Consider the following 23,354-nt stretch of genomic DNA (forward strand, 5'->3'; position numbering starts at 1 on the left):
TTTATTTGTGCTTCTTAGTATATAATGTTTCTTTTTCTCTGGGCTGCTTTTAAGACAATTTCTTTATGATTTGCTTTTAATAATTTGATTATCATGTGCCTTGATGTGATTTTCTTTCTGTTGATCCTGCTTAGAGTTATATTTCTTAATTTGTGAGTTTATAACTTTCATCAAGTCTTACATTCGTGTGTACCTTTAAATCTTTTGGCATATTTATAAGAGATATTTAATTTCTTTATCATGTTTGTTTCCCTTCGTTCAAAGTCCTTGTCTGCTAATTTCATCTTCTCTGTAATTTCTGGATATGTTTCTTTTGATGATTATACTCCTTATAATGAGTGATATTTTTCTTCTTCTTTGTGTAGCATTTTTTGCTTGGATGTTACATTGCAAGTTTATGTTGTTGAGTACTAGATTTTGTTGTCTTTTCTTTAAACAATGTTGAACTTTATTCCAGGTTAAATTAGTTTCAGTTCAGCTTGATATTTTTGATGCTTGCTTTTAAGTTGTGTTAGAACAAGTGTAGATTAGCCTTTATTTTTAGGGCTAGTTTAGCTTTAATTCTATGATGTGATGTTTTTAGGGTCTCTACTAAGTACTGTGTGTATGTAACATGGATTCTTCACTCTGGCTAGTTGGGACTAAACATCTTCCAGTACTATGCGAGCTTGTGGCATTGTCCAGCTTACAATTCTCTAGCGTCATGGGGCTGTACCTATAGATTCATGCCTCAGTGTCCAGCAACAGGTCAAGAGGCTTCCTGTGCAGATTCCTCTTCTTTCTCTGCATATCTCCCTCTAGTCTGTGTCTCCTCACCTCATTGTGCCCACTGAACTCTGCTCAGGATTTCCCTCTTGGCATTATTGTCTGAAAAGGCAATCCAGATACAAAGTGAGGGCAATTATAGGGCTAATCACGTTTGTTTCCCTTCGCTCAATGTGCTGCTTGTTGTACAATGTATGAAATCAGTTGTTTAATTCTGACCATTAAAAAAATTATTCATGGATGGGCCAGGCACAGTGGCTTATGCTTATAATCGCAGCATTTTGGGAGGCAGAGGCAGGTGGATCACCTGAGGTCAGGAGTTCAAGACCAGCCTGGCCAACATGGTGAAACCCCGTCTCTACTAAAAATACGAAAGAAAAATTAGCTGGGTGTGGTGGCATGTGCCTGTAGTCCCAGCTACTCGGGAGGCTGAGGCAGGAGAATCGCTTGCAGCTGGGAGGCAGAGATTGCAGTGAGCCGAGATCGCACCACTGCACTCTAGCCTGGGTGACAGAGCGAAACTCCATCTCAAAAACAAAAGAAAACAATTGTTCACGGATGGAGGGCAAGTTGAGTTTCAATAACTTCATTGTGAGTAGAAACAGAAGACCTTTCACATTTATCTTTAAAGCTCTCTCTGTAGGTATGCCATTGTGGTTTTGATTTCAATAATTAATACGTTTTTCTATCTAGTGGTTTTTAATTTCATTATACTTTTCGTCTTTGTGGTAGTATTTTATTGATTTTTATATCTACCTTATTCTATTCTGATGGTAGTTTGTTTCTTGCTCCTATTTTGTATGTCTCATTTTTTCCAAATATTAAACATAAGTACTTTACATTCTGTATTTAATAATTCCAGTGTCTGAGAACTTCGATAGGGCTAATTCTGCCTCTTCATGTTTGTGCTGAGTCTTTCTTACAGTGCCTTGATTCCTTGTGTGTCTTTCAGTTTAAGACTCTGAGCTTATACTTGATGGGGCTTTATTTGTTGAAATCCTTTAAGACTGGGCTTAACTCTCCAGAGATTTTACTTTTGTCTCTGCCAAGCTCTCACAGGGTTGTTAACCTGAGATTGCTTTAAGGTAACTTACCAGCTTGGGATTTCCTGGACCACAAGTATAATGCAAATTAGAATGACAAAAATGCATTAGGGTAAGCTGTGGTTATAAATTCTCAAGGGGATTGTTTTCTCCTCGTATCCAGAGCTTGAACCCTCAAAGATGCCTTTTTTTTTTTTTTTTAATCAGTTCACTCTTCTGGTGGGTGAACTTTTTCCATAGTTCACACCTTTACTGAGGTTGTAACCCTTCAGGATGTGGAAGTCTGCCTCAGTTCCAAGTCTTCACCATTCGCAGACCCTCATTTCCTGGTTTCCACTAGCCTTTAGAAAATGAATTTTTAGGCTACAGAGACTGGTAGATGCCCTCAAGGGCAAGCACAGAGTCAGCTTTAATTTACTACCTTTTCAAATTCTTTCCTTTTTTAACCTCTGAAATTTCTATAATTACTATTGTTAAGATTAGCCTTGCAAATAAGGGTAAATAAAATAATTCCTGAGAATATAGAAATGAGGGTAAATCATAAATGGCAGACAGCATTCTGTTTCCATCTCTCCAGATAAGGGTTCTTAGGGGCTGCTGTTTTAGACAGGGGTACCAAACATCCAAATCCATGGGGAATATATCACACTTGCTTGTCAATTTTTTTAATTGACAGTAATTGTATCTATTATACGGGGTATACTGTGATGTTTTCATATAGTTTTACTTTGTGGAATGATTAAGTCATGCTAATTAAAAAATCTAGCACCTCACATACTTATATTTTGTTGTGGTGAAAATATTTAATATCTAATCTTTTAACAGTTTTGAAATATACAGGCCAGGCCCAGTGGCTCACACCTGTACTACCAGCACTTTGGGAGGCTGAGGTGGCAGGATCACTTGAGCCCAGGAGTCTGAGACCAGCCTGGGCAACAGAATGACATCTCCATCTCCACAAAAAAATTAAAAAATTGGGCAGGCATGGTGGTGCACACCTATAGTCTCAGCTGCTTGAAAGGCTGAGAAGGAAGGATTGCTTGAGCCCTGGAGGTTGGGGCTGCGGTGAGCCATGGTTGCACCACAGCACTCCAGCCTGGGTGACAGAGACTCTACCTCAAAAAAAAAAAAAAAAAAAAAAAAAGAAAGAAAGAAAGAAATATACAATGCATTGTTATTTATTACATTCACCATTCTGGGCAATAGATCACTAAAGCTTATTTGCTTGTCTTCCTTGCTTGTCTTCCTTTAAAAAAAAAGATCAGCTTCATACCTAAAAGGATGTTTATTATACTTAATCCAGGATTTCTAGGTGATTCATAGTGGGAACATTTTTCGGGCTGGCTAGATCACCATAATGCTTAAAATGCAAGTCTTTCACTCTAGTTCTTCTCACGGCTGGCACCTTCTCTTCGTTTAGGTCTCATCTCAATGCCAACATCCTATCTAAGTAGCCACTTTCCCTACCAGTCATTTGCTACCACATTATTTTTTATTTTTTCTCATCACACTGTACAATAATATTTTTTTGAAAGGTTTTCCTATGTACTCTCCCTGTCTCTCCCACTAGTGTGTAAGAACTATGAGAGTAGATATCAAGTCTTTCTATTTTCTTCTGTGTTTTCAGCCCCAAGGCCAACTGCTTGTCAGAATAAGCACTCAAATATTTGTTGGATGAATAATTTTTTTTCTTGAAGCAAATATAAATGGATACAGCACCTAAAATATGTTTCTAAAACTTAAGATTATGTCAGTAAGTATAGCATGTGAATGCTCAGAATTGTCAGTTTGTTGTTTATACTTTGTGGTCTCAACTTATCAAGAAGTCCAATAAATTCTGAAGTTGTTATTCTTTTATCAAAAAAGTAAGAAAGTGATTTTTATTTCAGTATATTGAGCGTAAATAACTTTTTTTAAAGTAAGAATCATGAAAACATGCCTAAAGAAAGTAGCCTAAAATTATTTTCAGGACATGACACCTCCCCATCTCCAAACAAAATTAAGAGTGCATATGCCACTTACCTTGTTTGTGTATAAGGGAGTAGAACTGTTTCACAGAGAAGTGAGTTTTGTACTTAGCTATTTGACTAATCAAATCCCATAACATCTCTGAGCTTAGAAAATGTAATCTAAATATGGTTAATTTTCCCTCTAGCAAATCCTGGAAATCCTCGTTTTAATAAAATCTTCACAGTGTTTGTAAGATATTCCTTTTTCTTTTTTTTGAGACAGAGTCTTGCCCCGTCACCCAGGCTGGAGTGCAGAGGCACGATCTCGGCTCACTGCAACCTCCACCTCCCAGGTTCAAGCAATTCTCTGTCTCAGCCCCCCAAGTAGCTGGGAAGGTGCCCTCCACCACACCTGGCTAATTTTTGTATTTTTAGTAGAGACAGGGTTTCACCACCTTGGCCAGGCTGGTCTTGAACTCCTGACCTCGTGATCCATCTGCCTCGGCCTCCCAAAGTGCTTGGATTATAGGCGTGAGCCACCATGCCCAGCTTTTAAGATACTTCTTTCGGAAAAAATTTCCTGGAATAAGGGTAATCATATACCCTAACTCCAAACAGCAATGACAACAACCAAAAAGCAAGCATTTATTACAACAGGCGAGGCCCTGAGTTGAGAGATTTATGTGCATTTCCTTATTAAAACCTTAAAGATCCTCTTATAAGATAATTATTATTCCTACCTATAGGTGAGTAAACCTTGGTAAACAGAGAAGTTGCTCATAGTTACAAGGTTAGTGAAATCCATGTTCTTTAATAATTCTTTATATTGTTCCACAAAGAAAAGCATTTTCAATATTTAGTCCTTATGTTTTGGAAGCAGATGTAGGTCTTGAATTTCTAGGGTGGATGACTCCACATTCTTTCCTGTTTTATTGGTGGAAAACCAAACCAGAAATCATGATTTGAGAGGGTGTGTTCTTGGGCCATTCTATGTAATACAAACCTAAGTCATTTGGGGACTTTATTCATACATATTTCCAGTATATTTTGGAAAAAGCATTGAATTGTACCTATTTTAAGGATAATATCAGTGACATTTAATTCATAATTGTATTATGAATTTTATTCAACTTCAGTGACAATTGCTATTTGATCTCAGCCTACAATCATAAATCTTGTTGAACTACTATTTCATGAACATTCCCTAACTAGCCACTCTTTGGTTAAAAATCTTAGCTGGGTTTAAGATATCTGTGTTAAAGAAGACTCCAAGTCAGGCATCTGGATTCTCTAAGAAGGGTTTTCCATTTTCTTGTATTTCAGGTTAAGGGAATTCTAAAGAATTACACATGAGCTAATTTGTTTTTTTAACTCTGATCACTTTAAAAAATTTGTAATTCTCCAAACGACCTAGATAAAATGCTTTGATAAATATTGTCTATAACTGGAGAACTACTGATGTATAAAAATGTGTCTTTTTGGTTAGCTCTGCCTACCTCATTTGATTTAGCTTTGTGTTCTTTTGCTTTTACGTTTTCATGCTTTCTCCTTATTCTTCCAGGATTTCATCCAATTGGAAAGTTAAGTTCTTAGTACTGAGTGGCTAAAAAAGAAATATTTAAATCCACCTAGACACTATGTACCAAATACACTCAACCATAACCACACCAGTAATGATGTCCTCTAATGGGGAGCACTGGTACCTGAGGATGAATCCCTTCTCCTTCCCTGGTGGAAGTGGAAAAGTATCAAGAATTTTCAGAAAGCTGCTGAAATTTGATGAAGGCTGTGTTCAACTTGTTGGCTGCCACTCTTGGTAAATAATAAACAATATAGGCATATGTCTCTGAAAAGACTTCTCCAACTTAGGTTTTCCAAGCCCAGTAGCTTAATTTTTTATTTTGTTTTCCTGTTTTTTAAATTTAATTTTATTATTATTATCATACTTTAAGTTTTAGGGTACATGTGCACAAAGTGCAGGTTAGTTACATATGTATACACGTGCCATGCTGGTGTGCTGCACCCATTAACTTGTCATTTAGCATTAGGTATATCTCCTAATGCTATCCCTCCCCCTCCCCCCTCCCCCACAACAGTCCCCAGAGTGTGATGTTCCCCTTCCTGTGTCCATGTGTTCTCATTGTTTAATTCCCACCTATGAGTGAGAACATGCAGTGTTTGGTTTTTTGTCCTTGCGATAGTTTACTGAGAATGATGATTTCCAATTTCATCCATGTCCCTACAAAGGACATGAACTCATCATTTTTTTATGGCTGCATAGTATTCCATGGTGTATATGTGCCACATTTTCTTAATCCAGTCTATCATTGTTGGACATTTGGGTTGGTTCCAAGTCTTTGCTATTGTGAATAGTGCTGCAATAAACATACGTGTTCATGTGTCTTTATAGCAGCATGATTTATAGTCCTTTGGGTATATACCCAGTAATGGGATGGCTGGGTCAAATGGTATTTCTAGTTCTAGATCCTGTTTTGTTTAACTACAAACCAAAGCTAAAGAAATGATACAATGGTCTCATATTCAAGAATCTTATAAATTTTCTACAGAAAATATAAGGTGTAAAAGGAATGGAGAGTTCTTTAAGCAGCCTCAGAGAAATTATTACCTTGCGTCAAATTCAAAATGGATTGTCAACTATGTCATAATTTTCTGGAAAAAGCTGTTTAAATAACAATACTTCAGTGTTGCTTTGCATTTACACTGCTAGAATTATACCAGGCATCTAAAGGGCAGCCCTTCTAGGACACAGTGTCCTTGGCAAGATCTTTAGAAAAAGACAAAAAACAAAAACAGAAAGCAAAACTTGAAAGGAGAGACTCTATGGAGAAGAAAAATGAGAGGAGAGAAAAATGATGCCAAAATATTTAATGTCAAATGCCAAAACTAATATTTATTTGACTGTTTTCAAATGAATAAGTTGCATCATTTATTATTAATATTATTGCATCATATACTATTAATATTATTATTTGCTTAAAAATTGCCATGAATGAATTTTAAAAGGTAGGAAACCGTAGGAGATTAATTTTAATGGGAGGAATGATATCTTACTTCTTTGGTTATATAGATGAGTTTAGTTAGTTTTGGAGATTTTAAGAAGAGATTTACTTTCAACTCTCTATCATAAATGCATATTAACCTAGGAGATCATTTTTTTTTTATTACACTTTAAATTTTAGGGCACATGTGCACAACGTGCATGTTTGTTACATATGTATACATGTGCCATGTTGGTGTGCTGCACTCATTAACTCATTTTTTTTTTTTTTGGTCTTGAAAATTTAGTTCTTGCACCAATCAAATCCTTTATGTCTAAAATTTAGACTAAACACTGATTAAGACGCAAACTCCAGTCACATGCACCCTATGTAGTCTGAGACGATTCACTCACCTATGGATTTGACAAGCGCTCACGGCTGTGTCTCCACCTCTCACCACATCTGGGATGTTTTTGTCATTCGAATGCCCTTCTGCTTCCTCTAGGAGGCTGCTTTTGGAAAGGAAGGGTTCAGGTTCCCCAGCACAGGCTTCTCTCTGATCTGTTTCAATCTGAATCAAAGGCACTTCCCTCGAGCAAAGTGATCGCCTTTTGTGGTTTATTGGTACAGGGTCCTGGCACGAGGAAGTTTCTTTTTTAGAATCTAAAGGGCTGTGGTTTGTAAGAGAAGCAGTTTTGCTCAAAGATGACACTGGGGGCTGTTTACATTCGGTAACAGAGTCTTTCCTCGGGCAATCGAGAGACTCCTGAACAAGCAGAGTTGGCCCACTGCACATCCTGCTCGCAGCTAATCTATTTGCACACTTCTCTGCTTGCGAGGGAGAGCCACCAGAAACAGGCTCAGTGTCAGCTTCCTCTGCATCATCCACAATGATTTTGTTCTTGCGCATGAGAGCCTCAATGGAGCTAGCCCACGTTTCATGAATTAACATGTTGGTGATGTGGTCAGTCCCACCTCTCCGATACAAGCAAGAGTCAGATTTGCAGAGACCGGATGAGGACGCGCTACTGACCGGCTGCACGCTTAGGAAATCTTGTGGGCAGTTCTGAGCAAAGCCATCTAAAGAGTTGGCTTTGATGGGCACATTCACTGTCAGCCTGGAGCATGGGGATCTGCTGTCTGGCATGGACGACTGTCTGTGGCACACTGGGGATCGCAGAGAAGGAGACAGCAGGCCGGCTGTCCAATCCTGGCTGCTCCGTCTGGAGGAGGCACTTTCTCTGCTGTCTCTTTCGATGTCCCTCAGCATGTACCTGTAGAACTCCTCAGTGATGCTCTCTGTGCTGGACTGCTTAGAGGGACAGCTAGGCCTCACACTGAGGTGGTCACTTTTCCGGCACGCCTGTTGCATGGCTGAGTTCAGAATGCTGCTGGCGTTCTTGCCAGCATAGTAATCCAGCAGTAACTCAAATCCTCTCCCTTCATTTTCCATCTGGTTCACCATGAACCTGGAAAACTCATCGGTGATGCTCTCACAGCTCGACTGCTTGGAGACAGAGCTGGCCCTGCTGACCGGCTGGCTCAGCGTGCTCATTAAGCCCAGGCTGTTGACATAGGCCCTGGCCTCGGAGTCTTCCTCAGGAATGCTTTCGCAGCTGGAGGCCTTCAGCCGGCTCCACCTGTCGCCACTCAGTAACCGATTCCGGGGATAGCCCTGCGCCTGCCACATGCCGTCCACCATAGAGAACTCCGTTAGGTTCATGATCTTGGCTGCCACTTCATTGGCAAAAAGATTGACAGAATCTGGGACATCTTCAAGGTTCATGGACTCATCCACAACCCTGTTCATCAGCTTTTCTTTAAGCTCAGGGTGCTCGTCCGTCTTCCTCTTGATCTCACTGAGCCGGGGAGGCTTGTGTTTCCTCACAGCGGTCCCGCTCCCCTGGCTCTCTTTCTTCCTCTTCAAGGATCGGCAGGGTACGTTGGGTGTCATCAGAAACTCACTCCCTCTTTTCCATGCACAAAACCAGGGTTGTTTTCCACTGGAGTTGTCAAGGCAAATCGCTGCAATTTCAGTTGCCATGGAGACGACCGTGTCTGCTAATTCTTCCGCAAAGTCTGTAATGCAGTAGATGTCTGGATGCTTTGTTTGAAGCGTGGATTGAGCAGGAAGCAGCAGGTCATCCCCTAACAAGGACAGGTTGACTTGAACTTCGTTGATGCGAGATGTGGCACAGTTGTACTTTTCTTGGGTGTTTGGGTGGATACTCTCCTCAGCCTCCTGGGAACCACTTCTGGACTGGCTGACCGTTGGGGACCTTTGTCCTTCGGAAGAGGCTCTGCATTCATTCTCACTGTGATGAGGGCTTTTTGTATCCTCTCCTGCTATTCCTTTCAGATATATTTCCTTGGAGGATGTTGTAGCAGTTGAAGAATCGGGCACTCTGTGACTACGTGATAATTGTGACTGCAGCGTGGGGTTCTTGAAGAGGCCTGGCCTCACTCCACCCTTGTCTTGTTTTGAATACATGCCATCCACAAGATTGTTGATGACAAGACTCGTGTTGTGTGAATTGCTAAGTGGAGAGCTGCTGGAGGATTCAGTGGCTTTTGTCCAAGCTTGACTAGCACCCGGATCAGATGGCTGGCAGCTTGGTTCTGTCTCCCTCCTTCTGATGGTCTCCTTAGAAAGGACAGCAGGACATTCACCAAGCCGTACAATATGACTCATCTTCTTGAACGTGAAGCATATCACATCTAAAAGCAGTTGATTTGTACTTTCCATTAAGGTGTCCAGAATTTCAGATGAATGCCTGTTGTCATTGGGGTCGATTATCATATTTTTGTGGTGAACTTCATCAATGGAATGCCTCAGGATAACATTGGACAGGGTATGTGCCAGTTCATTCCTGACGACATTTTCTGAGCACAGGGTCTGAGACTTTGAAGCAGTTTCCATGATTCTCCTGTTCATGGAGTCCAGAAAGTCTCCAATGCTGCTGTAGGTATTAGGCCTTGTTAAAACCAGAGCAGCCTCCTTGAGCAATCCCTTGGCAATGGCTTCCTTGCCAAGCTCCATGCTTGCTAAACCACAAAGTGGGGGCATGGCTTCAGAAGCCTCAGCTGCAGGCGGGAGGCTACCACTTGGAGCCACTGAGCATGTCACCTCTTCTCTTTCACCCAGACCACAGACAGCCACGGCACTGGCCACCTGAGTCATGCCACACAAAGCAGATGGAAAGGAGTACTCATTGATGGAAGGTTCCTTGAGTCCTTGGGGTGCTTGAGTTTGCAGTGCACCACTGCTCCCTGGGGGAAAGTTCGAGACCACTTGCTCCATTTTGAGTCTTTCTGTGGCCTGTGGACTGGAAATAGTTCCAATCACAGTGGCTGCACAAGCTAACGCCACTTCTAGAGCACTCTGGGGTTGTCTGCTGGAGTTCTCTCCAGAGAGGATGCTTGAGGTTTCAACAGAGACTTCCATCTCAGGCCAGGAGGAGATGCCTGGCTGTGGGGCAGCATCACTGCCATCTGGACTCTGAACAACGACGATTTTGGGGAGCTCATTCCATGACCGAGAAACCACTGTATCTTTTGTGGAATAGCAACTGGGAAGCAGAGAACTTCCTACAGAAACACTGACTGCAGATTCCTGGGGTAATGTGGACTGAGATTGAGATAATCTAATAAATGCATCCTGCAGCACGGATTCTGCTAAATTTGTAGCATACTTGCCAGTGGTGACTTCTCCATCTTGTCTAGGAGGGAGAGCGTTTCTTGTGTCTTCATGGTCTCCTGGGTTTAGGTTGCTTCTCTGCTCTGCCACAGCACATGCAGAAGGTACATCTTTATCCATCATGGAGAAATAAGCATCTTTTGGAATATACAGTGCCTGTGATTTTTCCATTTGACCTTTAAAAGCTTCTGAATGATAATAATGTGTGGCTTGTCTCCCATTCCCCACAGCTTCTCTTTTCCACTGTGATGGCTTGGCTGAGGGATCTAGACTCTGCAAGGCTGTGTTCTTTGTTAGGTTTTCTGGAGATCGTTCTGTTTTAATCAATGGTGTGGGATATTTGTTGATGTATTTGTCTTCCAAAGCATAAAGCCACTTTTCCTTGTTGCAATTCCATTCCACCTGGGTGGCTCCCTTTAGCTGTTTACTTTCCAAAACATTGGCTGAGACATTTATATTTTCATAATCTAGTGAGGAGAAAATGAGGGGCACTATTACTTTTTGGATAGCAGGTTACCATAAGTCTTAAGTAATAATTACTTTCTAAAAATAAAACATCAATAAAGACACATGCACACATATGTTTATTGCAGCACTATTCACAATAGCAAAGACTTGGAACCAACCCAAATGTCCATCAATGATAGACTGGATTAAGAAAATGTGGTACATATACACCATGGAATACTATGCAGCCATAAAAAAAGGATGAGTTCATGTCATTTGTAGGGACATGGATGAAGCCGGAAACCATTATTCTGAGCAAAGTATCACAAGGACAGAAAACCAAACACCGCATGTTCTCACTCATAGGTGGGAATTGAACAATAAGAACACTTGGATGCAGGGTGGGGAACATCACACACTAGGGCCTGTTGTTGGCGGGGGGAGTGGGGAGGGCTAGCATTAGGAGATATACCTAATGTAAATGACAAGTTAATGGGTACAGCACACCAACATGGCACATGTATACATATGTAACAAACCTGCATGTTGTGCACATGTAGCCTAGAACTTAAAGTATAATAAAAATAAAATAAATAAATAAAAATAAAGCATTGACTTTTTTTCCCCCTTCAAGAATAACAGTTTGAATGGTTTTCCTCAAGAAAAATGAATCTGAAAAGGCTTTCAAATTTCATGATAGAATGCCACCCAACAAAATGGCTTTCCATATGGGATACAAATGCAAGTAGGAGATGTTTGAGGGCTGAGGGCTGCCACCATTTTTCAGGGGAAAGCAACCCAGACAGTTGCATCTTAGAGCTTCCCAGTGGGTACAGAAGGAGAAGGGAGGATGTTTACGGCAACCTCAGTAGTGGGACTTGCTGCAAAGATTTGTTCTAAAGTTTGCATGAGACTTGTCCCAGGGACAGTGGCAACAACATCTGGGGTACCCCTTCCTCTGTGGCTAAAAGTGGGGAGGAGGAACGCATTGTTCATTGAGCTCTGTGAATGGGTCAACAGGAAGAGCTGAATAAATGGGTACTAAGCACTTTCCTGGATTATCTCTTTCTGTCTTCACAAAAATCATTAGCTATAGGCATGATCGTACTCCCAAATTAGACAAACAAACTAGGCTAGGAAAGATTAGATAACTGGCGCCAGATCTCACAGCCTCAATGTGGCAGTGCTGGGATTCAAATCCAGGCTGGTCCAACTTGGCTTCAACTAATATATGGCTTTTATGGAAGTCTTAGGGAAGTTAACTTTCCTCCCAGTGATAGCCTCCATCTCTTGGCAGGCAGGAGGATTTTCCTTTAAAGTACACAAATTCCCTTCAGTATGCCTAAGGCATCTTTTGGGAGTCTGGATCCATCCAACCATTAAGTCCGCTAAGTGAGTTTGTCAGTATCTTCACCAGTGTTCTCATATCCTCCTTCCTTCCTTCCTTAAAATTCAGCAAGTAAAGACTGTGATGTGTCAGCCAAACTGATGTGGCCTGGAACTTTTCTGAAATCTCACCAAGACATTTTTATACGGGGACTAATTTCAGGAGGCACTAATTGGAAAGTTCTCACCGTTCCTAGATTCATCCACCTCGCTTTCCTCCTCCAAGTGCTCAGAAGCGGTGAGAAAGTCTTCCTCGATTGAAGATAAGGAACAGTTCGTGTCATCCTCCAGTTTCAAGATGTTTGTTTCCAGGTGGAGCTGTCGCTCCTGCACCAGTTCCAGACCAATCAGAAATTTGTTGATTTCAAAGATGATGCAGTTGGTACTGTTTGGTCTGTTCCCTCTTGCACATTGGACCAAGCAGATATCTGGCAGCCAAGGGCACTAAAAGTGGAGAGAAAAGAAGGCATTTATTCAAAAGGGAAAATAAAAGACTATTGCCTCTGAGCTTTCCTTTTCCACCAAGCTCTCCTGTTAATAGGAGTGGGGACCTTTAAAATATTTGAAATGTCTTCTGGAATTATATTAATAAACTGCTTGAAAAAAATTCAAGTGATGTTTGGAACACAAGGTACCTAGGAGAAAGCCTGACTTAGGGAAAAATAGATCGGCTGTATCACATATTTTAATTTCCCTTGGTCAAAGCAAAAATTCAACTGGGTAAAGTTAAACAGGCAAAGAAGATTTTTATTTGAGGCTATTAAAATAGGGAAGAGAGGCCAGAATTAAGTTGGACCACAACTCCACTGAAACAAAAGGCAATAGGGTTTTTAAGGGCTAGAGTGATGGGGGAGATCATAGGTCATCTGTGTTTGATAATTGGCTTTACCCAAAGAAACAGTAAACTTTCTTGTATCTTTATGACAGGAGGTAGTTTTACAACCTGGAGCAAGATGCCCAGTGAAGTTAGGTTCTCATGCTCCCATAAAGACTGGGGACTTTAAGGGAACTATCTTCCTTGATGATTACATTTCAAAGAGACAGCTCCCAGGTCCTTGAGAAAGACATTTCTGGGTATAAAGCTGGCAAGAGGCTTTTACAAAAGGATTTACATCTCAAAAAGGCACAGGAGGAATTTACAATTATAAATTTTCTAGATTAAATGCTCTAAGAAAAGGGAAGTCAGGGTCTAGAGTCAGGAAGGAGCCTGTCTAAATTTTGGTCAAGCTGAAGGGAATGTCAACGCTGTCTTGGTTACCTCTCTTGATTAAATTGAGTCCCAGTTTCTCAGATCAGTATCTTTCTCTGCCTTGAAGATACTCAGTAAAACCTCTACTACTAGTACTTCAGATGTACAGTAAGTGTTCTATCAACTACAGTTAGATTCTATAATTTGTATTGCTTATCTGAAGAAGCAGTCAACATGAAATTAAATGAAATCCATAGGAAGTGAACTAATTATCTCTAAAAGACCAGCGTATGGGAAAAACAGTGATAAAGAGGCCCAAATTATAGAATCATGTACTAGTCAGACCTGTTAATTCTGTTCCGTTCTAGGGTTACAAACCATATCCTCATTCTCCACTACACATTGTCACTATTCATATTATTTATTGCTCATTGGAATCGTAATAAAAGGTTCCAATAATTCTAGGAGAGATGATTATAAAATGAAAAATTCAATCCTTCTCCAAGGGGTTTAGGAATCCCCTGGGGGCTCAAAAATAAAATTCCCCTAAATGCATATGTGATTAGGTCTATTTTTCAAAGAAGGTGGTCCATTGCCTTGCTTTTCTAAGTGTGGGTATGGACCTGCAGCCATGGCATCACCAGGGAGCTTGTTGGAAATATTTACTCTCAGGCCTCAACCCAGATCTACTCAATCAGAATCTGCATTTCCAATGAATCTGTTGGAGATGTGTACATGCATTAGCATTTGAGACCCACTGGTCCATAGCTTTTATTGAATTCACAAAGTATCTGTGATCCCCCGAATGGAGAGGAACTGCTGTTGTAGAGTAAGCAGAAGTTGGCTTAATTTTCTTTCCACTGAGTTTAGACACACTACACTAAGCTGAAACTTACCCAGTATTTTCCGAGTGCCTATTGCATGCAAATTATGCAAGGAGGTGCATTTTCCGAGTGCCTATTGTATGCAAATTATGCAAGGAGGTGCAAAAATGAATCAGACAATTGCTCTGGGGAGAAGGGCACACTATACTATCAGTGAGTCAACCTCAGCAGAGTCCAAGTGATTCACACGGAGTTGATTCACTTCCAGCGCCAGGGGTGATCATGTGACTTAAGCCTGGCCAATCTGAATAATGCATTCCTTGGGTCATAGTGATTGGTTCAGAAATGGGCATGTGACATATGAGAGCCAATAGGATGCAATGAGACTTCTGCTGAAAACCACCTGGAAATGACGTCCCATTCACTCTTTCCCGACTTGAACCCAAAAAGATATTGCTTCCTTGTGGGAGGAGCTTGTCTGATAATGGGGCCAACGGAAAGAAAACAGGAAAGAGGCCACAAGAGAAAAATCCATGTGTTGATGACATTGTTTAAGTCTCTAATCTACTCCTGGATTTTTCTGGTTACATGAAACAATATGTTCTCTTTTTGCTTAAGCTTATTTTCTGCCATGTTAAATTAAGAATCCTAACTGGGATTAATCAGGGTCTAGTAAGTTAAACTCAAGGTCAAGTCCAATTAATGTCAATACCAATTTTCATAGAGATATTGAAAGAAAGCTGGAATTTCTCAGTAATACCTGTACTTGCCAAAAGCTAGGAAAAGTGTTCTATAATGCAGAGGCAGTTTTTTTTTTTTTTTTTTTAAATCTGTGAATTCTAGAAAGAAAACGGGAATAAAATCTTCACTCTCAAAGACATAATGTACAATTATTTGACAAGCCACAAATTACCTAGGATTCATGTAAAACTTATAGGACACAAGCCTTGTTAGTAGCTACAAAGTCAGGGAGATGTGATTACCTGGAAATAAAGCCTCCTCGTTTATTAATTGATTTATCACACTGTATTATGTTTCTTGAAATTTGGAGACTTTTGGGCTTTTTGAGATTTTGAAGAGTTGAAGGATAAAAGAAGACTTTAAAAATTGACAGTGAAATTAAAACCCAAGGAAGAACAATTTGTGGAAAACAAATGCTCATCATTTTAATCTGGAGCTGTTACATATCACTGTAATATACTTTATGTGTATTTTTCTTGTAAATTAATTAATTAAACAATTTTACTTACATATCTTTAAATAAATAATGTTATAGTGATTTATATAATAGGAATGAACATGAGTGCACGGAATGATAATAGTAGTATTTTAGTTACTGTTTATTTTTAATAACGTTTGTTTTGGAGGAGGGATATTTTATTTATTGGGCCCAAGACACTCTCTTTCCATCCTTGAAGCTGCCATCCTGGATTTACTAGCTTGGCTAGTTTGGTACCTCCTAAGGAATACATAACATCTGAAAGATGATATTGTGGGATTCTGAAATAGAATTTTCATACTGCTCCTAAAAGAGAAGATGATTCTGTTTTTGTTTATCCAGTAGATTTGTAGAAAACCAAGCTAAGTAACCAATGCCTACTCTATCTGCTCTAGTTCAAATACAACTTAGGAATTTGAGAAGATAATAGAAATTAGGAGTTGATGTAAGAAAAGCTCTGTCAAACTCTAAGTGGCTCTATTTAAGAGAAATACAAATGCAGACTTTTCTCAAATATAAAGACACTTTGATTCCTATGTTACAGAAGCTTATGTGTAGCATCTGTTTGGGGTTTACACTGATCTGTGCTGAGCTAACTATAGATGTAAGTAAATGGCTTATCAAGAACTTATGTCTTACCTGTGAAACTTCAAAATCTGCCTGGAGATTTCCAGAGGCTAACCCACTTAGGACAACAATTTCATTTTCTTTTGGTTGTTGGACATTCATGGAACTGATAAGTTTTGGAAGATCTGGTGAAACGTTGACCAGTTTCTGTAAAGCAAGAATCTTTATTAGTTTAGCTGATTTCTTTTCACCAAATACTACTCACAAACTACTTTACCTTCAGAAATAATACTCATAACTGCTCATACATATAGACTGCTTAATCTACCAAGATTCTTACTAGAAGAAATTTTATAAAATGGAAGCATGCAAGTTTAGATTGAAAGAGAAAATATAAGCTTCAAAAACTCTTTAGTTCTACATTTTACAAAAGTAAACATTTTACAAAGTAAACATAAAGTAAACATTATGATAGTAATTACTATCATACCACAGGTATAAACAGTAACTTGGAAAAATTTTCCCTTTTAAGACCTTGCATAAAACATTTTTTGTTTTAACTAATAATCTTCCGATATGGCTTGGCTCTGTGTCCCCATCCAAATCTCATCTTGTAGCTGCTATAATTGCCACGTGTTGTGGGAGGGACCTGGTGGGAGATGATTGGATCATGGGGGCGAGTCTCTCCTGCACTGTTCTTGTGATAGTGAGTGGGTCTCATGAGATCTGATGGTTTTAAAAAGTGGGAATTTTTCTGCACAAGCTCTCTCTTTGCCTGCTGCCATCCACATGAGATGTGACTTGCTCCTCCTTGCCTTCCATCATGATTGTGAGGCCTCCCCAGCCAGGTGGAACTGTAAATCCAATAAACCTCTTTCTTATAAGTCCAATAAACCTCTTTCTTATGTAAATTGCCCAGTATCGGGTATGTGTTTATCAGCATCCTGAAAATGGACTAATACCTCTTCTTTTCTAATTGTGAATAATAATAATTATAATAAAATTGTGACTAGCATTGATTTTACTCTGTGTACTAAGCACTATGCTAGAGCCTGTATATATGTTAAATCTGACTACATTTAATCTTCACAATAACCCTACATGGATTAGGTACCATTATTCCTTTCATGTTATACACAAGCAGCCTCAGGACCAGGCCCAGTAACTTGCACAGTTCATATAGCTAAATCAGTGCCAAGGTGTCTGCATGCTCTTAGCCATAGCAGACAATTATTTCAAATCACTCACGTAAACTCTTCAAACACACTACTCTTAGATACCAACTTGCTTTGGCCCTCCCTGCTCTTTGATGGACTCTGCACCATAATTCTATCAAATACAATTGTATGTGTAATTTCTTTTGAAAATCCCATAGTACTACACATATGATGATATTTGGGGCTCGGTGAAAATTTGTAATCAATTAGCTGTGTGGGAAACTGGGTTTGAGAAGCTTGAAGTGCAGCATTGTCAATATGGGAATAACTGTCAGTAACCGAGTAATTGCAGGTCTACTGTTCTGTGAAAATCAAGTGGCAAATCGTGTGCTGTTATACATTAAACAGTATTACACCAAATGGTAAATTCAAACCATTGTCAGGTTTTAGCATGGAATGGCAACCTTATTACAGCACTTAATTCTTCCCATTGTATCAGCAGGCTCTTGTTCCAGAGGACTGAATAGATCTTCAAGTCCTTGCATACTGTCAAGCATTTACATCAGGGCCCTCACTGCCTTGGATGCACTTGGAGAATTTTAGCTGCAACAGGATGCAAAAAGTTCAAGCCAAGGGTACAGGTAAAGCATTTGATGAAAGCAGCAGGAAGAAGCAAATCTGAGAGACAGAGGGGAGGGTTGGCTGGTATCAGCAGGTTTTGGAAAATTCTTAGAAAAGTCATCTACAAATAGTCATTTTAAGGCACTGATGGGCAAGAGGATGTGTGCCTGTTTGGACAGTTCTGCCTACATGGGAGAGCAAGTTTCACAAATGTAAAAAGGGCAAACGGTAGAGGGTAAGTGCTAGGGAAAGGGTCGGGGAAATGGCCTGTAATGAAACTATCTAACTAAAGAGTCTCCTACAAAATGAGCATTATTTACAGATGAAATCAAGTTGAATAGTCCTTGTAATGACCTCCCGGTCAGCTTGAGTTTCAAATGTTACCTGTTGCAGGTGCTCTGTGCTGCATTCATCCTTGTTCACATCAAGATTCACAAAGCAGACCTGGGAAAAGAGGGCAAAAATAGTACGTTAAAGTCAAAAACCTGACTGTCTTTTTAGAAGAAAGAAAGCAGGAATCAGTTGGGGCAAATGCTTTGGGAGTCTTCCACATCTTAGACAGTTTGGCATAGAAATAGTCATTTCAGGGCGGGCGCAGTGGCTTATGGTTGTAATCCCAGCACTTTAGGAGGCCAAGGCGGGCAGATCACGAGGTCAGGAGATCGAGACCATCCTGGCCAACATGGTGAAACACTGTCTCTACTAAAAATACAAAAATTAGCTGGGTGTGTTGGCACGCGCCTGTAGTCCCAGCTACTCGGGAGGCTGAGGCAGGAGAATTGCTTGAACCCAGGAGGCGGAGGTTGCAGTGAGCCGAGGTCATGCCCACTCCAGCCTGGCGACAGTGTGAGACTGCATCTGAAAAAAAAAAAAAAAAGAAAAAAGAAAAAAAGAAATAGTAATTTCACTTTTGAGCCTCCAAATAGCTCTCCAACACCCTGCTCAGCTTCCCACTGGTCACAACAAATGCCCGCTTCCTTTCATGGCCCAACATACTAAAAAAGTCTGCTTGTATTAGAGCCAATAGAACAGTTACAACAAAATCTTCAAGTTTATAAGGTGTTATCAGATCTCATGAAATAGGAAAAATAACTTTTTATGCTCTAAGCCTCTGTTTGTAATTGCAATAAATACTTTTCTCTATTTTCTCCTTTCCTCTTCTCATTTTTGCTCCTTTTCTCTACCCACTTTTAATGTAGTGCATAATAAGCCAGGACTCCTCTTTGCCACATTGTTTTAGTTCATTTTACTTTATTTAACCTTGTTATACAATTTGCCTCTTTGTTAGCTATGTTGGATAAATGTCTGAATGGGTTAGTCTAAAAACAATAGCCATAATATTAAACAATAAATCTGAACAACAGTGAAACATTGTTATAAAGTCATATGTTGCATAATGAACAACATTTTGGTCAAGAACTGATCACATATACAACAGTGGTCCTTTAAGATTATAATACCGTATTTTTACTGTTTTTACCTTTTCTATGTTTACATATGTTTAGATATACAAATACTTAATGATTGTGTTTCAGTTGCCTGTGGTATTTAGGACAGAAACATGCTGTACAGGTTTATAGCCTAGGAGTAATAGGTTATACCATATAACCTACAGGTACAGTAAGCTATGTCATCTAGACTTGTCTAAGTATAGTCTATGATGTTCAAACAGTGACAAAATCACCTAATCATGCATTTCTCATAACATGTCCCTAACAGTAAGTGACTCATGCCTGTAATTTAAATCCCAAATATACCACATAGTTAGAAAACTACTATGAGCATTCAGATGGGGTTGGAGAAAAGAAAGTTAAAGTTTTCAAAGAGGTTAGCTATGTTTTTGAAAGATAAAAAGACTTTTGTTGGGTAGGGAATGGGTGGGGACCATCACTAGTGGGTTGGACAGACAGCATGATTAATACTTTGAGGTGAGAAAGTGTAACGCTGTCAAGCCACAGGGAATAAGAGAATCTGACTGCAGGCAGGCCTAGAGGAAGGGAAGTGTTGGTAATTAGGTCTAGTTAGGTTTGGGCTAAATGAGAAAATGCAAATGAGGTTCTCTAATACTTTGCTAGCAATCATCCAAAGGTTTTTATTTCTAACTAGTTGATTTGATGTTACAAAACTGAGAACATTAATTACCTGGAATTTAGTTAGACATTTGAACTTTCAGATGCCTGCAAATATATGGGGCTTTCTGATCTTAGTTACTTTTTGGGATCATGGTTTCTTAGTCCATCTTTTTTCTTTTTGAGGTTAAAAAAATAATGGAAAGGTTTTGAGAAAGATCTTAAAAACTGAAATAGAAGTGTAAAGATCACTACTGCTTTAGTCCCAAAGAATAGGAGATTTCTTCAAGTTTCATGGACTCACAAGATCCTTGAAGTGCAACCCTAGGATGCACCATCTGCCTGTTAAGAATAACTTGATGGGCATTAGGGGGAAGAAAGGGCATGAAAGGACCCACACTCCCATTCAGAAGTTCTTTTTGCTCTGGGTTAATAAGATGGAAAAATAGGAAGAAATTGGCATGAGTCCCTTTGCAGACAGTGCAAATGGAAGCATAAATAGAAGATGGAGCTCAGAAGCAGTTCATGATCTAGGGAAGTTTGATAATATTCATATAATAATTGAAACTTTGCCCTTGGAAAACTAGTTCAATATCCATCAGTCCTCAGGGACTTTTAATAACATGCAGCTGGCACTGGTGGTATTGAATTGATGAGAAGATTTTCCATTCACCTTAAAGAAAGGCCCATTACCTTGCTCCTGGGCATGACAAAGCTTTTATTATCATGCATCACAGTGGCAGAGGGCAAAGCAGAGATCAGAGAGCAAAGAAAGGCCTCTATAGTAGCAATTTGTCTGCCCTCCAACATTTTCTTTAGTTTTCTGAGGATGAACTCTCTTTTCACCCATTTTAGGCTACTATATGAAACTCTACCTACACCTGGAGGACACTCTCCACATTTGCTACCTGAACCAAGATAAAAACAAAGCAAGACACAAACCAACTTCTTGCTTATACTTCTCATGCACATCTTGCAATATCTTCATAGTAGGGGATGATCCAGGCTTCTTAAGGCCTGATGTGCATGCAATGTGGGGAGGCCTTCTTTAAGAAATGGAATAACGGCCGCGTACGGTGGCTCACGCCTGTAATCCCAGCACTTTGGGAGGCCAAGGTGGGCGGATCAAGAGGTCAAGAGATTGAGACTCTCCTGGCCAACGTGGTGAAACCCCGTCTCTACTAAAAATACAAAAAACAGCCGGGTGTGGTGGCGCACACCTGTATTCCCAGCTACTCAGGAGGCTGAGGCAGGAGAATCGCTTGAAGCTGGGAGGCAGAGGTTGCAAGTGAGCCAAGATAACGCCACTGCACTCCAGCCTGGCAACAGAGCAAGATACCATCTCAAAAAAAAAAAAAAAAAAACAACAAAAAACAAAAAAAAAAAAATAAAAAAATTAAAATATTCTAAATTAGGTGTGAGACTGAATATTTACTTCTTTAGAAGGAAAAAAGGAATTACAAGAAAGCTAGAACTTAAAAGGGCTGGCAAATACTAAAAACATAAAAACTGCCAGGAATATGATATCTAATTGACTGCCCAATGCACCTCCATAATATTTTTTTTTTTTTACATTTTTGACTAACTACTCTTTGGTCACCTCTTCATGTGAAAGCAATATTGAAATATTGTCTTCTCTAGAGAAACTAGAAAAATAAGCTAGTTTTCCTCTGACATGGTTGACTGATTTTTTAACTTCCAGATTTTTATTGAAAATATGTTTTACGAGGGTGGAGCCAAGATGGCCGAATAGGAACAGCTCTGGTCTACAGCTCCCAGTGTGAGCGATGCAGAAGATGGGTGATTTCTGCATTTCTATCTGAGGTACCAGGCTCATCTCACTAGGGAGTGCCAGAGAGTGGATGCAGCGCACCGTGCATGAGCCAAAGGAGGGCGAGGTGTTGCCTCACTTGGGAAGAGCAAGGGGTCAGGGAGTTCCCTTTCCTAGTCAAAGAAAGGGGTGACAGACGGCACCTGGAAAATTGGGTCACTCCCACCCTAATACTGTGCTTTTCCAACGGGCTTAAAAAACAGCACACCAGGAGATTATATCCCGCACCTGGCTCAGAGGGTCCTACGCCCATGGAGTCTCCCTGATTGCTAGCACAGCAGTCTGAGATCAAACTGCAAGGCAGCAGCGAGGCTGGGGGAGGGGTGTTGGCCATTGCCCAGGCTTGATTAGGCAAACAAAAATGCCAGGAAGCTCGATCTGGGTGGAGCCCACCACAGCTCAAGGAGGCCTGCCTGCCTCTGTAGGCTCCACCTCTGGGGGCAGGGCACAGACAAACAAAAAGACAGCAGTAACCTCTGCAGACTTAAATGTCCCTGTCTGACAGCTTTGAAGAGAGTAGTGGTTCTCCCAGCACGCAGCTGGAGATCTGAGAATGGGCAGACTGCCTCCTTAAGCGGGTCCTTGACCCCCGAGCAGCCTAACTCGGAGGCACCCCCCAGTAGGAGCAGACTGACACCTCACACGGCCAGATACTCCTCTGAGACAAAACTTCTAGAAGAACGATCAGGCAGCAGCATTTGCAGTTCACCAAGATCTGCTGTTCTACAGCCACCGCTGTTCTGTAGCCACCGCTGCTGATACCAAGACAAACATGGTCTGGAATGGACCTCTAGCAAACTCCAACAGACCTGCAGCTGAGGGTCCTGTCTGCTAGAAGGAAAACTAACGAACAGAAAGGACATCCACACCAAAAACCCTTCTGTACATCACCATTATCAAAGACCAAAAGTAGATAAAGCCACAAAGATGGGGAAAAAACAGCAGAAAAACTGGAAACTCTAAAAAGCAGAGCGCCTCTCCTCCTCCAAAGGAACGCAGCTCCTCACCAGCAACGGAACAAAGCTGGACGGAGAATGACTTTGATGAGCTGAGAGAAGAAGTCTTCAGACGATCAAACTACTCCGAACTACAGGAGGAAATTCAAACCAATGGCAAAGAAGTTAAAAACTTTGAAAAAAAATTAGATGAATGGATAACTAGAATAACCAACGCAGAGAAGTCCTTAAAGGAGCTGATGGAGCTGAAAGCCAAGGCTCGAGAACTACATGAAGGATACAGAAGCCTAAGGAGCTGATGCGATCAACTGGAAGAAAGGGTATCATTGATGGAAGATGAAATGAATGAAATGAAGCGAGAAGGGAAGATTAGAGAAAAAAGAATTAAAAAAACGAACAAAGCCTCCAAGAAATATGGCATTATGTGAAAAGACCAAATCTACGTCTGATTGCTGTACCTGAAACTGACGGGGAGAATGGAACCAAGTTGGAAAACACTCTGCAGGATGTTATCCAGGAGAACTTCCCCAATCTAGCAAGGCAGGCAAACATTCAGATCCAGGAAATACAGAGAACGCCACAAAGATACTCCTCGAGAAGAGCAACTCCAAGATAATTGTCAGATTCACCAAAGT

The 23,354-nt window shown here is 40.4% G+C and overlaps 1 protein-coding gene and 1 long non-coding RNA gene across 7 annotated transcripts in view, besides 1 other annotated feature; one reads left to right on the top strand and one right to left on the bottom strand.

Annotated features, from left to right (window-relative positions):
- Positions 1–23,354, top strand: part of LOC105373918 (uncharacterized) — a 79,493-nt gene that overhangs the window by 46,635 nt on the left and 9,504 nt on the right. The window contains exon 2 of the long non-coding RNA XR_001739908.2: positions 17,745–17,883. This is a non-coding gene — a long non-coding RNA (uncharacterized LOC105373918). The remainder of the gene's footprint in view (positions 1–17,744; positions 17,884–23,354) is intronic.
- Positions 1–23,354, bottom strand: part of SPHKAP (SPHK1 interactor, AKAP domain containing) — a 201,733-nt gene that overhangs the window by 29,282 nt on the left and 149,097 nt on the right. For all 6 annotated transcript variants that reach the window (NM_030623.4, NM_001142644.2, XM_006712778.5 and 3 more), the window contains 4 exons: positions 18,248–18,307; positions 16,158–16,292; positions 12,475–12,730; positions 7,170–10,920 (listed from right to left, as the gene is read on the bottom strand). In NM_030623.4, coding sequence (NP_085126.2) covers positions 7,170–10,920; positions 12,475–12,730; positions 16,158–16,292; positions 18,248–18,307 — 4,202 coding nt within the window. The remainder of the gene's footprint in view (positions 1–7,169; positions 10,921–12,474; positions 12,731–16,157; positions 16,293–18,247; positions 18,308–23,354) is intronic.
- Positions 20,343–20,962: an enhancer, noted in NCBI's record as "OCT4-NANOG hESC enhancer chr2:228894295-228894914 (GRCh37/hg19 assembly coordinates)". NCBI's record gives its function as "activates a minimal SCP1, AML or CMV promoter by ChIP-STARR-seq in primed H9 embryonic stem cells {active_cell/tissue: H9 hESC(primed)}" and the evidence as "EXISTENCE:reporter gene assay evidence [ECO:0000049][PMID:30033119]".

The sequence above is a fragment of the Homo sapiens genome, chromosome 2 (genome assembly GCF_000001405.40).
Source record: "Homo sapiens chromosome 2, GRCh38.p14 Primary Assembly".
Lineage (NCBI taxonomy): Eukaryota > Metazoa > Chordata > Mammalia > Primates > Hominidae > Homo > Homo sapiens.